This window comes from Homo sapiens, chromosome 18 (genome assembly GCF_000001405.40).
Source record: "Homo sapiens chromosome 18, GRCh38.p14 Primary Assembly".
Lineage (NCBI taxonomy): Eukaryota > Metazoa > Chordata > Mammalia > Primates > Hominidae > Homo > Homo sapiens.
In genome coordinates this window covers 77,897,076-77,913,094 of record NC_000018.10, presented here as the reverse complement: position 1 = coordinate 77,913,094, position 16,019 = coordinate 77,897,076, and the positions used below count along the sequence as shown (strand labels likewise).

The following is a 16,019-nucleotide window of genomic DNA, read 5'->3' as shown; positions in this document are numbered from 1 at the left end:
TTGTTTTGCTTTTTAGTCTCAATCAATTATAAATCCCAAAGGTAAAAAACTGTTCTGAATTTGCTCCAAACCATCACTGCTGTCCACTGAAGAAGTTAAAGCAGAACAAATTGTTATTAGATACAAGTGAGGAAAATTCCTGGAAGAGTCCTTACAATTTTAGGGATACCTATTAAAAAGGAAGAGAATGACATTGACTAGCTGAAGCCAGAGGTGCGGCAGTTTTATTTTGGAAAGAGTAGGTTGTCTTTAAATATGAAAGCTTAATGGTATGCAGCCTGTCGTCTGCTATATGAAAAAGCCCATCAAGATGATGGGAATGTGTCTTAATAGGACTTGATAGAAGTATACAAAGCGGTTCCACATTTTGGTCACTCCACAGAAAGACATGCAGTTTAGTTCATCTTAAAGCAGTTAATGTTCTTAATAATTGCTTTGTTTTAGACTGCCTTTATGCGTTTGCTCAACACAATTGTTCTGTGCATACAGAGAGACGGGGGCATTTCAGAGCGTTACTTACAATTATTAATAAACTATTTGGCTACTGAATATTCACACTGTGTAGCTTTTCAACTCTGCATACAAGGGCTGTCTATTGAAACTGCCACGGAGCCCCGGTGCACAGCTGGAGAGGAAAGCAGGCTTTTACACACCGGCCAGATCAATGCCCTGACAAAGTGGGAGAAGAATTGGGAGAGTGCTCTTGATATGTTGCCCTCTGTATACTGGGAGGCAGGGTGTCCACCAGGACGTATTGATCAGCCGTGCCGTATGGATTCAAAGGTCTTCAGCGGCGCTTATGATATTTTACACCACATTAACTGTCGAGATGGTGTGCTACGGCAGCCCTTTGCAAAACACAGGAGGGCCTCAAATAGCTGCAATTAAGCCCTCCAGAGAGCAGGTGCCCCCACCCGGGAGCATACAGTATTCCAGGGAAGCGGGGAGAGGCCAAGAAAACCAATACTCGTCAGAGCTGCGGAGCGATCCTGCCCATCGGTTCCAGGCTGTCAGCACTTTCCTCCGCCGCAGCTTTTCATAATCCTCAGCATATGCTCTTTGTTTTGATAGGCATGAAATTACATCAAGGTCATTTTTAATAACTGTCAATAGCTTGAGAGCAGCCGTCAGTTTTATTGACACCTACGCTGAAGAGCTCAGGGAGCTGCAAGGAGCACGTCGCCCCTGCCTGGGAGCACCGATCCACTGGGAAACGGACGATTATTGATATTAGTAAATTAGTATTGATAGAAATTTGATGAGTAGAGTGCATCTGGGTCACTCCAGAACGTGCGAATGTCAACATCCCAGAAAGAGCCGAGGCCCAGAGCTGTAAACAGACGTGCATTTATTGTCTACGCGGGGTTCCTTTATCATTCTGTTCTTCTTCTTAAGAGACAAGCCTTTGTTTTAAATACTGGTCACTTACTCCCACTCCAAAAACCCAAAGCAGTGCTAAATACCCGCCCTTTAAATGTTATTTTCTTCTGTTTGGAGAAGAAATATTCCTTCCTCTGTACTTTATATTCTAATAGATCTCTGGAATTTTAATATATTTGCAAAGAAGATATTTGAATGGGACCTTATTTATGGAATAGGTCGTCTCTTTTACACGAAGGCCTGATGGACCCCGAAGGGTCCCCAGTGGTTTTCTGGGGACGCTCAGGCTTGGCTTGCCCAGGGGATGCTGCGGAGGTCTAGAAATCCTTTATAGATCAGGGAGGTCTCCGTATCTCAGCCCACAGACAGGCATGTTGCTTTCCAGAGTGAGCCGACGCAAGTTTCCATGGAAAATGTTGGAAAAAGGGAAGACGGAGTTTGTCAGAACAGCAGCAAGCAGCATTGCTGTGTGGTGAGCTCGTGAAGCTGTGTCCTTAGAGGAAACTCACACCAGTAAGAGAAGACAACTGTGCTGGCTTCTCACATAGGAGAGGCTGCAGATCCAGAGAAGAGAGGGATCGTGAGGAAAATTAAACTAGATACCCGGGAAAAATGAAGTCATATCGGAAGGCAGACATAAAGTCACTTACGAGTTCATTTACACAAAACGTCCAGAATACGCAGCTCCACGGTGACAGCGAGCAGGTTAGTGGAGGGCTGGACTGGGGGACGGGGATGGGATGACTGCCTACTGGGAAAAGGGCTTATTTTGGGGAGATGGAAATTCCCTAGAATTAGATTGTGGCAATGGCTGCACAGCTGCGAATATATCAAAAACACCGAATTGTACACATTGAATGGGTAAATTCTGTGATACATGAGTTATAGCTCAATTAAAGAAAATATAAACCTGGAGAAGTCCCTGGGATAGCAAAAGTGAAAATCGTGAAATGGGAGTTAAATCTATTTATTTTAATTTAAGGTACAGATTTAGTAAATCAGGGAGTTAGTGTTCCAACCATTATGCCTTGTATTTCTAATTCTGTAAATTCAGAGCAAGATAAGATAACTAGGTGAAAAAATGCCTGTAGTACCAGGCCACTCTCAAGAAGGCGGGCTAACGAGAAGAGGTGCTTTCTGTTCACACGAGGAAGCCGGCACGTGGAATGACTGCAGAGTTGCACAACCGGGCTGGGATTGCACGGGCCTCCTGCTCCTGTACAGCTCGGGTATATTTTAAACAGGTGGTCAATGAGCGACCAGGTTCACAGTGGCATTTTGAATTCTAAAACTTTTATTTCTACCAATCCCCGCGAGTCGGGTAACACGTTTATTGACCGCAGGTGGCTGCTACGGGGGCCTCATTGCCTGCCGGTTGACATTTTGTTTTCTGCGCACATCTTCTTGGACTTGTGTTTCTTACCATCCAGGTCCTCAGCACACGATCTTTCTAGTCCTAATTACACTCTAGTGATAAACCTACCCATAAACTCAGTGGCCCAAATGGTTTAACATGGGGTTATTTAGAAACATCTCTTTTAAAATATTTTCCCTCTTTGGAAAATGTACAAAGTAGATAAAATTCTACCTCTGAGGGCTGTGTCTCACTTAGGAGTCTCCACTGGCTCATGGTCTCAGGAAGTGTCCCCGGATACTATGACAGGCGAGATCTTCGCGTGCCCAGAGGGAGTCACAAGAGCATGGAGTGAGAGCAGAGCTTGGCGATGGTCATGGCTAACGTCTCCTGTTTACAAGTGAGGAGGCAGAGACCCCAAGGCAAAGACAAGCGACTTATTTGTGGAATAGAATGTGCAAATCCAGATTTTTTAAGATAGAGAAACTAGATCATAAGAATGTTCAGACTGGAGGAAAAAATGCAGATCATGCGTTCTGATGAGAAAAAGAAAAAACTAGCTTTGCCCTAGGTTCTTTCTGTGGTCCACTGAATGACACAGCTTCCAGCCTCCTGATTCTGTACTATCTTTCAAATGCCAGACACCAAAAAAATCATAATTTATAGTATGACTTCACCTGAAGAGGGAATCCAATGAAGAGAAGTTACCGTGTAAAAACACAGAGTTTACATCAAGGTACTACAGGTTTTTATACAAGTATTGAATAAACAAAATGTATGCAACAGTGTGGAGGTGAATATGAACTCTCAGTGAAAATTTTCTAAACCCTTAAGAGGATTATCAGTCAAGAAACAACATTCTATGATTCATCACGGTCTTCAGATGTGACCAACAGCATTGTCTCAAACATTTCTTCCTGCAGACTGGAGGTTAAACATCATCAGAGAGAGAATTTATCGTGAGGATTTTACTGGTTCTTTGTCAGAGGTACTTTCTGAGAAGGTATTTTGAGAAGCATACATTCAACTTAGTGAAGATGACTCTGATGTTTCTTGAAATTGTCACCAGCAGAATCTACTTACAACTCTGCTACCAACTGATTCAGAAAGTGTGTTTAAATGATTAGCAAAGAAAATCCCCATGTGATTACGTCCTAAGATTTTGGCCATTTTTCCTAGATCTTCTAACAACTTTAGCACGGTCATAATTTATGACCAAAACAAAGGATGTAAAAAAAGATGACAAAAATAAAGAAAAATATAAACAAACTGGTGAGTAAACATCTAATACCAATTCTCTCAAATAGGTTCAATTGTATGGAATATGAAAACAATCTGTTTTGGCACAGCATTTAGCATAATCCTCGTTAAAAAGAGAATATTTTGAATAATAAATTTCAAATTATTTCCTCATACATGTCCATATGCGTAATAAACGAGTATTTTAGTTCCTGTCTAATTATCTAGATTGGTGCAGAATTTTTTTTAAAAAAAAATATGCCAGTTTTAATTGCAAAAGTGCTGCCGGCTTCAGATTTTAATTGCAATTCACAAATGGTTGGACTGGCAGTGCTCCATTACAAAGAAAAAATCATTTTAATAGCAGAAGTACTGCCTCGCTGCAGATTTCAATTTCATTTTACAAGATACTGGGTCATTCAGCGTCATTACAAGGAATAAAATAGCTGGTGTGAACCTCCGAGGTGTTGGCTGGGTCATGATACTGCCTCATGTGCTGCATGGAGGCTGCCTTGAACTTGGCTCTTAATATCATCCGGAAGAGCAAAACCCAGAGAAATCCTAAAATCCTTTCAAAGGGGCTCCCGTCCAGCCGCACTTGGCATAAAGCAGCCTCTCCTGTCCCTTACTTGTTCTGTCTTCTCTATCAAGGACTCCTTCAGGGTGAGAGCGACTTCAGTGTTTCTAATCTGTAGAATAAAAGAAACGCAAGCTGTTTTCATGGAGATATTTTCCCTTCAGATGTTCCCATTCATCTTACCCTAAGCTCCCATGCATGTTTTCAGTGTGAGGCCTAGCTTTTCTCTGACAGGAGGCTATAAGCACACAGGTGAAAGCCGTCGTAGGATTCACCTTGTCTTTGCCCAGGTGAAGGTTCTGGGGGTGGGTCTCCCCAGGTGACAGAGCACCCTCATGACACTGGTGTCCCTGTTGGTCAGATGTTCTATCGGTCACATCACAGACTGTGAATCAAGAACAGCAGAGATGGAGAGAAGCGACTAAAGATGCCTTTCCCCTCTGTCACGCAGTAAGACTCTGAACTTGAGTCTCTAGCAGCTGAACGTGGAGCTAAGCTGTACATGGTTCTCCTCGGCTCATCATTTTCTCATGGGGGTGACCTGGAGGACATCCTGTGCTCAGGGAGGCCACCCTCCCACACAGGTGCCGCTGCACATGCCCGGGAGGGCACCTGCTCCGTCCCCACTCCAGGGCTATTACACCCAGTGTGGGCACAGCTCTCCTCCAACAACCACTGGTGAAACCCAAAGTGTGCTCTGCTGATGGAAGTCCTGAAGTCAGATAAGCAAATTAAAAGGCCAATATAATCTATGATTTAAATACATTCCAAACAGATTTAAAATATCTTCCTTGAGCTCTGAAAAATTACAATATCTAAAGCCCTTGATTACTTTTTAAAATCTCTTATTTTAGGATTGTATCGATTTTTCACTACACATATTTTTATTTTTACAGTTTGGTAAAAGTAAATTATAAACAAATAACATGTATTCCATTATACAATTCACATATATATGCATATATTTATCTCTATATAATGATATCTGTATATATAACTTAACAAAACATGGAGGTACTGAGTCCACACATATCACTGCTAAAATAGTTATAGGAATGTAATAACAATTTTTACTTTATAATGACAGTAAATTCATTTGACATTGAAATATAATAATTTTTTATGTTTTTAAAATGAGGCAGAAGATAAAGGTTAACTTTCTTAGCGTGCTATTACCAAATTCTCTTTATATTTTAAATAAATGGAAATGTTTTATAACTCAGAAAACATGATTCTCTCATTCCCAGAGTATCACACAATTTGAAAATATATAAATATGTATAGAGATAAATGTGTGCAAACAGAAAGGCTCCGCCTGGCATTTCCAGTGCACTTTTGTCCTAACTACTCTAATATATCTCAGCACAAATGAAGCACCATCATTATCCATTATGTATGACAGTGATGTTACATTTGAAGTGTATTTTTCTTAAATTCATCTCAAGGCACTATTAAAACAGAGTTAACAGTTAAATGGTTGCTATTTTGTGCATACAGAATAAGAGAGAATTGCATTCCCCATCTATTTCTGCAAATATTTATTGTAAGACGCTGTGCTCATCCCAGAGCTTGATAGCCAGAATGTCCGACCAGAGGTCAGTGAGGGCAGAGACACCGTATGCCCCGGACAGCGCTGCAATCTCAGCTGCCCACCTATGTGGGAACTCTCACGGGGACTAAGTGCCCCAAGTCAAAACACTTACGTCATGTTACACAAAACCCTAAAATTCCCCCATGCAGTGTTGATGGTGTCTCGGATGTGGCATCTTTCAAGGTGTCTGAACCTGGATTTACAGCACAAGCACGATGGCTCCACCCAGAAGCACACAGCGGCCTCTGAAAGGCTCTTCCGCTGCTGATACCACTCCATAAACGTCTAACCTTCTGCCCAGGATGGACCTGACTCTGGGGAAAACGATCCATTGCGTTCTGAAGTGTACTGCGAACATTAAAAAGGAGAAGAAGACACATAAATTGTGAGAAAGCCATAGCCAGTAAATCTGAGCGTGATTTACTTGAAAAACAGGAACTAGAATGAAATGCATGCTAAGAGCTTCCCACTGGGATGGGCGTTAACAGGGCTCAGCAAGCAGAATACGCCCGGGAGAGTCACCAAATGTCCACGCTAAGGTCGCTCCTACGCAGGGAGGAGGCTGAAGCTGGATGAATCCAAGAGTGTGCGGGTGCCTGTGAGTGTGCGGGTGCCTGTGTTTGTGCGTGCCTGTGTGTGTGTTCTGTGTGTGTGCGCGCTTCTGTGTTTGTGTGCGCATTAGTGTGTGTATGCCTTGTGTGCGTGTATGTGTGTGCGTGCATGTGCCTGTGTGTGTGCATTTGTGTGTGTGCCTGTGTGTGTGTGTGTGTGTATGCGGGGGGGGATTTCCCAAGAATATTCACTGAATCTGATCGAAACACACTTACAGGCAGTTAGCTGCTCAGGGAGGGAAATGTTCATCAAAAGCAGCGTTCTGCCGTTATGCTCAGGCGCGGGCACGCACAGGTGCGTGTGTCATGCACATACCTACTTGCCAGAACCAAAGCAAACCCTGCTCACATCCCAAGTTTTGCCCCAGCTCCCGCCCGTGGCACCTGGACTCCCGGAGGCGTGGGTGCAGCTCAGGCCCTCGGGTGAGGCCTGCCCGGTCTCAGGAGTGCCCAGGCGGCGCTGGGCAGCAGCGAGCAGGTGGTTTGTGACAGAGACCCGCCCAGCCAGCCTGAGGTTCCAGACGGCGACAGGGGCGCGGGGAGAAGGCCCTGCAGGGGAGGCTGATCCTGCGTGGACGCGAGGCCGTGGAAGGGAGGTCCCCCAGCCTTTGCCGAGGCCAGGCCGAGTGTGGATGCCCCTGGTCCTGGCTGGCCATGGGTGGTGTGAGGGGCGAGGAGCAAGGCGTGAGGGTGAACCCCCGACCCCACAACGCCGAGGCAGAACCCCCTGGCAGGGTTCACGCCAGAGAGCAGAAGCCACGCGCAGGGTGGAGATGGAGAAGGCAGGAGACAAGGACGTCCTCCCCCTTCCCTCCCCTTCCACCTTCCACCTGTCCATCCAGGCGTCCGTGGCCTCTGCAAGGCGGCCCCACACCAATGCACCCAGAGCAGGTGGAAGAGGCGGCCCTTGGGGGTTAAGAACAATTCCCATGCGGTGTTTCTGCAGGCAGGGGGCAAAGAAAATTTGCAGTTTGAACATCCTGCCCGTTCCCACTGTGCGATGTGGCACAACTTGCTCGATTTTGCTGGGCGTTGATTTTCTTATCTGGAAAATGGGGAGCCCCCCTCGGGGGCCGGTGTGAGAGCCAGCATCCCAGTGATCCCAAGGGCCACCCATCAAGACCATTGCGCAGGCTGGGAGGCGCCCCGGCCCCCTGCGTTCTGCGCACCCTCACACTGCAGAGCAAGGCCCTGGCTGGTGGGCCACCTCCCTGTCAGTTTGAATCCACTAGCATTTCCTATGGAGCTTCCTCCATGGCCGTGTTAGGTCTAATGAGGTCTACAAATTTCACTACAATATAGTCCTTGCCCTCAAGGAACTTTCAGCCTACAAAGTAAGTGTCTCCCTCAGTTTCCCTGTGCACTAAAGTGTTTAGACAACTATAACCATCCTCTGGTAGCAATTTGCAGAGTGTCACAGGTTACAAAGTGCTTTATAAGCGCTAATTATCACTTCAGTAAATTATTTTTACATTTTTTCCCAAAAGAGTGAAATAAAACAGCATAAGCAGAAAAACATAAAACGCAAGAATTGTTTTATGGGCCCCTGGCTGAGATTTCTGAACTTGAACATCATACGCAGGGAAACATTAGATGCAGTAATTATATAATGATGTTTCACTGTATAACTATTATCTTTCTCATTGTCACTTCTTTCAGATGAGGGCTGAAGGGATTAACCCTGTCTATTCTGTGCTCAGAACAGCTTTCTAGACCCGATGTTTCCCTTAAACTCATCCATGAGCATTCAGAATTTACATGACCTAAGAGAATCTCGCAGATCCTAGAATCACTTCTAAACTTTATCAATTATTCCTTGCTTTCTCAAAATATCAGGAATTCAAAGAAGGGTGCTAAAGCATCAAATTGAAATAGATGTAGGTAAAGGGACTTAGTGGGTATGTATTTAGTTATAGATGTATTTAAGATGGAATGAATAAATGAGTTAAATGAATTGTGCACGGATCTTGTGCTATTTCTAATTTTAATAGTACTTGAAATCAGCTATGCTTCATAGCGGCAGCTCAGGAACAGGCGTGGCCTGGTCTGAAACGATCAAGCCAAGAAATGAAGGACCTGATTTCGCTGGAATGCCTGCTGGAACAATGGCACATAGTGCTGACCAGGACAGAGGCAGATGCAATAAACAAAGGTAAAAAGCTGTGGGTACTGTGGGTAAGGTAGGAGTTTGGGGAAAGATGCACATCTGCACCAGTGGGATTATCAGATACCCAGGAGCAAATGAACAAGCTTGGTGTTTACAAACAGTAGCCCTGTTTGTAAACACCAGATAAAGTTTATTTAAATTCAGTTTAGAGAGAAATGCCAGTCCTTGGGAACCCTACTATGCAGAATAACACCAGCGATGAGATGTCTGCGCACATGGAGGACCTCCCCACTGTTCGCGGCTCTGGTGGTCTTACCTGGGTGCCTCTGTAATCCTAGGAAATTACTGCTTCCCGGTGATGTGCTTGGAGAATACAAGCAGGCAGGTGTGTGTGCTCACTCTAACTTTATGGGTGTTAATAACTTACATAGATAACATTTGTGTACTCAATTAAAATTGAGCATTACTGAACTTTTATATATATACATGGTTTTTAAACTTATATATAGGTAATGTATGTATACTATTATATATGTATTATGTATAGATACGTGTATATACACACTATGTACTCATGGTATACACATATAAATATATATATGTGTGTATATCCATGTATATGTGTATGTATCATTGGTACATAGAATTTGCCCAGTTTAACACACTGTTAAGCTATTTTTTCCCTCAATATTTGCAAACTATTTATATCAATGCCCATATCTACGTTGATAAAGATGTCATAAATAACTGTGTGTAACTGCATGGCACTTGGAAGCAATACTGCTGGAAAAAGCAGAGTAGGATAGACAGTAAAGCACGTGCTCCGGCCAAAGAAATCATCAGGTAACGGATGGAATTAAAAGCAATTAGGATTTTAAAGACGCATTTAGGGGCCAGCACTGCCGCAAACTGAAAGGTGCAAAGATTCTCCTATTCATTAGGCGTTTTCCCGCATGCGAAACAGAAGCATGGCGCGCTTCTGTTTGAATAGAAAAACAATTATGTTTTTAATACACTTATATTCTACTCATCTCCTCATCATTCCAGGATAATGAGTCATTAGAAAAAAATAATATTCAGCAGTACAGCTTATTGTTCGGTAGAAATGATCATTGCATTTGCTGAGTGTGAGCACCTGACTGTTTGGAAAGGCCAGAAATCAGCAGTTTCTGTCTGAGTGTGCTCCTGCTGTGGCCACTGGAAGGATCCCTGCCTAGCATTATTCTCTGCTGTTCCAGAGCCGAATGTTCATGACCTTCACATCATCCATAGGCAGGAGGGATAGAATTGAGGACACTGAAAATCTCTGTGTAGCTGCCACCTCTGGTACAGGTGTGGAAAGACCAAATGCTATGACCACTGGACTGCCTCAGGTTGAATTGTAAAGGCAGCCTACTGTGAATGACACTATAAACATTTGTTGTTTTTTCCATAAATAATCATGGATTTAATACATTGTGAGACAATTATCAGTCAGCAATGATTGACAGGTAGAGGTGAGTGACAGTGGTGGTTGTGAAGGATAGGGAGTATCAGGGTTCCTGCTGCCCACAGAAGAGGTCCCACTGACCTTCCGCCAACACCCAGGTCTCAGCTCAGCTTTGCGAAGGGAGCTTTGCAAGAATCACAGTGGTCAGGAGGAAACATTAGCAAAGGTTAAGCAATCAGTCTTTGAAACCCTCAATGTCCTTGTATTCACCAATTGCATGGCCTCAGAAAATGACTCAGGTGTCGACCCCAGGCAGGCCCAAAGTGCTCTGCAGGCTGCCTCATGGTAGGAGTGTATCCACTATTCCACACAAACCCCCAACTGGTGTCCAGATAATGTGTCTATGGACCCAGGGCCTACAAACTGCATATAGCTTGTTGAAAATATTTGTGTTATGTAAACCCAAATGGCTGTGTTCCGGTGAAAAGGCAAAGATCACCCTTTAAGTCCAATAACAACTGTATTTGCAAAAGCCATAAAGATCCTTCATAATTTATACCTTAGTAGCATTCTGTTTGGTTTTGGTAATTAGCACTATTCAAGCTTTAAGCAATAACATTACTCAGAACACGACTCCAGAACAAAATTTTTGAAGAAGAATTTATTTTTGAAAAAATGAAATATGAAAGAATTGTGTTATTTTGTATTTTAACTAAATAATTCCAAAAAGATACTTGACAAGACATGAGGAATGCATAGGCCATAGGTGTACATATCTGGATGTACACATCAAGGTATTTATATTTTGCTTTACATAAGGCAGAACCAGGTAAGATCATTTTTGTTTCGAGGATCTTGGGGCATGAAACACGCACAGCAGTGGAGAATTGAAACAAGGGGTGTCACTCCCATGATCAATGTTTCAGCTCACAGGTATTCTACACGCATGTTTCATTCCTGTGAAGATTAGGACCAAGGAGGCTATCTTATATTTTTAAATAACTCATTGAAGAGAGCATACTTTTTCAATTTAATATAATTGCTCTAATCAAAGCTCTAAAAGAATCAGTTAGCACTTCTAGCAACAGTTTTCCTGCGTTAAAACCACTTGTGAGGCCTAGACAGCATGCAGCAGAAAACAGTGTGAAGTCTAACAGACGCTACTAATAATGAGAGTGTTTGAAGGCCTTGGATCAAAATCACGGTAATGGACAACTTTATATTTTGCATAAATTAAAATTGTACACAGTATAAAGTCTACTATTTACCATGTCTTATTTACTATGTGATGAGGATTTGTAATGATATTGGCGTTTTTCTGTTGTTGTTTGTTTTTTTGTTTGTTTGTTTTTTGAGACAGAGTCTTGCTCTGTTGCCTGGGCTGGAGTGGAGTGGCGTGATCTCGCTCACTGCAAGCTCCGCCTCCAGGGCTCAAGCGATTCTCCTGCTCAGCCTCCCAAGTAATTGGGATTACAGGCACACGCCCCCACACCTGGCTAATTTTTGTATTTTCAGTAGAGATGTGTTTCACACCATGTTGGCCAGGCTTTTCTCGAACTCCTGACCTCAAGTGATCTGCCCACCTCAACCTCCCAAAGTGGTGGGATTACAGGTGTGAGCCACCGCGCCCAGCCTACTTTTCAAACAATTATGAGCAGTGAGTGTTTGCAACCTTGGAATGAGACTGATGACATTTTGGCAATTAAAAAAAAAAAGCCTTCAAAGGGCACATATTTAATGCTACTAAGAAAATATCAATCAATGTCTTTAAATTATATCTATATACAATGCTTTAATGACTTTGAGTGGGAAGATTTGTAGTTAGATTTTTTATAATATATAAGATATATATTATATATTGTTCATATACTATATATTTAAATTATAGACATAATTTAAAGAAATACATATGTGTTTATACATGTGTGTGTATATACATATGTATATATATATAGAGAGAGAGAACCATACACCTATTTATGCTCTGAGAGAAAAAAAAATAGTGCAATATATAGTTCAAGTTTCTCAAATTATTTTAAGTACAGTGTCTTTTATCTGGACATTGTTCAGAAATAGATCAAGACAACAACAAGCAGTCAGGCTCCCAGTAAAAATCTGACTCCGAAATCCCGCACCCCAGCCAGCGCCGTCTGCACCTGGAACCCGGGTCCCAGGGCCGGGCTGTGGCTTCCTGCCAAGGGGCGCGATTCTCCTCGCAGAGGAAACTGGTATTCTTTGGAGCAGCTACCCCGTCAGGAACCTCATTTGAATCTCCTCTCAGTGATTCAAACACAGGCTTCACCTGTGTGAAATTTAGAGGAAAATAAAAATGCAGCGGTTCCTACGGAGGCTCCTGGCTTGCAGGACATTTGAGGGTGGAGACAAGGATGCCGCGGAGGGAGGACTCGGGAGCCCGGCCGCGCCCTCCAGCCTCGGCACCCGCGCTCAGCGCGCCGCGCCCCGCGTCCCCCGCGCGTGGCCGCCTCCCGCGGGCCGGGCCGGGGCTGCGCTGCCATCTAGCGGCCGCGCGCCCAGCGCCGCGCCACCGCCCCTGCAGGCCGCCGGGGCTCCTGCAGCTCCTGCACCCCCAGTTTCCTCTGTGGCTACTTTAGGTGCCTTACGCCGTCGGAAGTGGCGTCCCCGCTCAGTGTCTGCGGGTTTAGCCCGCAATGCACCGTCTCTTAGCAGGTGTCGGCACTGGGGCTCGCCTGAGGCTGGGGAGGGTCTAAGGCCCGCGGCTTTGCTCAGAGTCCAGGACACGGAGCAGCGGCCTCCTCGGGGCTCAGCTGGAGAGGGTAGAGGGGAGGCTCGGGCTGTGGGCCGCGCAGCCCCTTCCTCCCCGCGGGCCATGGGGCCACAGTGTCTGCAGCAGTGGCCTGGGACCACCGCGCACTAGACACATGCTTTCAGGATCTGAAAATATCAGGGCGAAGAGAGAGTTGGGGCGCTTGAAGGTGCAATATATTGCATGGGTCACGTAACCTCAAATGGCTGTTTTCCAGTGAAAAGGCAAAGATCACCCTTTAAGTCCAATAACAATTGTATTTGCAGAAGCCCTGTGCAGTATCTTGGGGAAAAATGAAGAGGAAATTAGGCATCTAGAGACTGCTAATGAAAAGCAGCCATCAAAATGTGCCCAGCACCTATAAAAACTATCTTAGAAAACAAAACGGCAGGTAACAAAAGTCTTCTGATTTAAACATTTATTTCTACTGGTTTAAGTATCCGTTCATGTTTGAAATATATATATATAATATAATATAATATAATATAATAATATAATATAATATATATAGCCCTTTTCTGTCCATAGAAATTAACAAGTAATGTTTTACAGGTTTTCCCCAGTAGTTTAAAACACATGATCAACATAAAAATACCCAAATATCCAAGCTCTGTACCTCGCAAATGATATGAAAGAAAGAAGAAAGAAAGAAAAAGAAAGAAAGAAACAAAGAAAATATTGAAACTGATTTTTTAAATTTCAAAGCCATGACAACTATTTGAGTGTCGTCACCGATTAAGATGCTTCAAACAGAATATTCTTTTTTTAACTGTTGAAAAATTTCTCAAAAAATGTTAACAGAACTAAAGTTTTAACACTAGGTTTATTGCTTATTGCACACACACATATAAGCAAAGAGTACAATTACCATAAATATTTATACATTTATAGTAAATATTGTAAAGAAAAATAAAAACCACTTAGTCTATAGTGATTGTCATAAATATATTTTTTAATTATTGGAAGTTCTTTTTCCTTTATACTGAACTATTTTGAATCTGAGGGAAAGTTGAACTAATTTTTAAGCATGCACCAATAAATTTTTATACGTAACAATATTTTTGTGATAGTGCTATAGAAGACTCATTTCTTGTCCCACTAATTCTATAATAACAGTTCTGTCAATTACTTTTCAGGCTACCGAAGCTTAATACTGTTCCCAAAGCTGCCCTTTGGATCTCACTGGCTTTCCGTCAGGGACACGGGGCTCTGTGTGCTCTCTGCCTGGGGAGCTCATCTTGGTGTGATGTGTACAATCATGGGCTGTGACATATTTTTTGCGTAACTTGTGTATCATTTGTTCCCTTTCTATAAATTGTTTTCACAAATAAGAGCCATTGACCCCATTATTTTAAAAAAGGTGTCTGCCTTTCCACTGATTGCTTTTCATCAGAACCCTCCAGATTTCTGGGGTGGTTCAGCCACAATCCCAGAACATTCCCTGGTTTACTTTGCTCTTCTGACAAACTCAAAGAGTGGGAGCCACTCATGGTAGATGAAAAGCAAATGCACATTAGATCACACTCTTCCTACCCCCAGGATAGCCTATACTCTGTCTTCCTGTATGTGATTTATTTACAGTCACTTGTATTTTGCAATGTAGCTGTGAAATATTCAAAACAGCAATTTGTCTTTTCCTAAGAAAATTAGAAGTACGTTTTTGTATTACTGACATTGAAATTTCAAATATATGTGTACCTAGTAAAGAAATCAAATATGTTTAGTAAAAAACTGTATTGTATACCAGTACTAAAATCACAAAATATTTATTTTAGTTTATTTACTATGGTGTTTCCAAATTCTTCATATTTTCTTAACTTGTCTTCTTTAAAAGAAAAATAAGGCGATTTATAGTTTTAAATCACCAAGTCAAACTTGTCTAACTTCGGATTTCCATCGAAATCGCATTTGAAATTTTAAGTGTTTAGAGCAAAAACATCATGGTTAACAAACTCAGATGTAAATCAGAGAGCTGATCAGAGGTCCGTTGGCTGGTGGTTGTGATGGAGAAGTGCATTTTCATATAAATGGAAAGTTTGGGATTCCCTCTTCTGCCAACCTAAGGGTTGATTCCGTTTTAACTTTTGCTATATCAAAGGGTGTCTCTACTTCCACACCACAGGCTATATGTTGATTCTGTTAACAACTTCAGTACAAATAATAGCCAGGTACAAACAATGGGTACTGTCTAGCAACACCGCCGGGGGGCTTCCCTCAAAGGAACGCAAGAATCTCCACAGTTGTCAGAGGTGGGGTTTACTTCACTTCCCTTGAAGACCATGTCTATCAAAAGAGCTCTTCTAAGGTGAAAGGCAGCACCCTGTCTTCGCCCGACGTGCACCCTCCTGCAGCGTGGGAGGCTCCTTGGGCCAGGTGGGTGCCTCATTACCATGGGAGGAGACTGGGAAGATCCCCTGCCGGCTGACTGCTGTGTATTGACTCAGAAATATAACCAGGGGAATGGCAGAAGCCCTCGGTATTTGTCAAATTACGATGTGGAAGTGGAGCTGCGTGAATTCTAAAAAACTTGGCTGGCACTCAGCTCCGTCACTAGCTGTGGACAAAACACAACCCAGACAAGCCATTAAAAACACATAAATGTAATGATTTTGGTACTCATCTTGCATGCTTAGTTAAGAGTGAAAATTCAGCAGACCTCTCAGCTACATAAACCCACTGCTGCATATTTTGATAGCAGACTAAGCCCGCCTCAGTGTGCACACTGCCCAAAAAGAAGAAAATTAAAGCCCTCATTTTCCTCTCATTAAATTTAGAATACATATTTTATCAAGGAGTATAATTTTGTTTTGTTTTTTTGGTATCTTAAAGCATGTGAGAATAAATACGTTTGGTCATGGCCCAATGCATGAGAGCCAGATCTGAGGCTCGTGGGCGGGAGACCCAGGACAAGGACCTGACCTCCGGGCCTCACTCCTCACTCTCGCA

The 16,019-nt window shown here is 43.1% G+C and overlaps 4 annotated features.

Annotated features, from left to right (window-relative positions):
• Positions 6,337-7,108: an enhancer, noted in NCBI's record as "H3K27ac-H3K4me1 hESC enhancer chr18:75617943-75618714 (GRCh37/hg19 assembly coordinates)". NCBI's record gives its function as "activates a minimal SCP1, AML or CMV promoter by ChIP-STARR-seq in primed H9 embryonic stem cells {active_cell/tissue: H9 hESC(primed)}" and the evidence as "EXISTENCE:reporter gene assay evidence [ECO:0000049][PMID:30033119]".
• Positions 12,564-13,080: an enhancer, noted in NCBI's record as "H3K4me1 hESC enhancer chr18:75611971-75612487 (GRCh37/hg19 assembly coordinates)". NCBI's record gives its function as "activates a minimal SCP1, AML or CMV promoter by ChIP-STARR-seq in naive H9 embryonic stem cells {active_cell/tissue: H9 hESC(naive)}" and the evidence as "EXISTENCE:reporter gene assay evidence [ECO:0000049][PMID:30033119]".
• Positions 12,706-12,825: a silencer, noted in NCBI's record as "silent region_9567". NCBI's record gives its function as "represses an Ori minimal core promoter by ATAC-STARR-seq in GM12878 lymphoblastoid cells {active_cell/tissue: GM12878}" and the evidence as "EXISTENCE:reporter gene assay evidence [ECO:0000049][PMID:35858748]".
• Positions 14,930-15,440: an enhancer, noted in NCBI's record as "NANOG-H3K27ac-H3K4me1 hESC enhancer chr18:75609611-75610121 (GRCh37/hg19 assembly coordinates)". NCBI's record gives its function as "activates a minimal SCP1, AML or CMV promoter by ChIP-STARR-seq in naive H9 embryonic stem cells {active_cell/tissue: H9 hESC(naive)}" and the evidence as "EXISTENCE:reporter gene assay evidence [ECO:0000049][PMID:30033119]".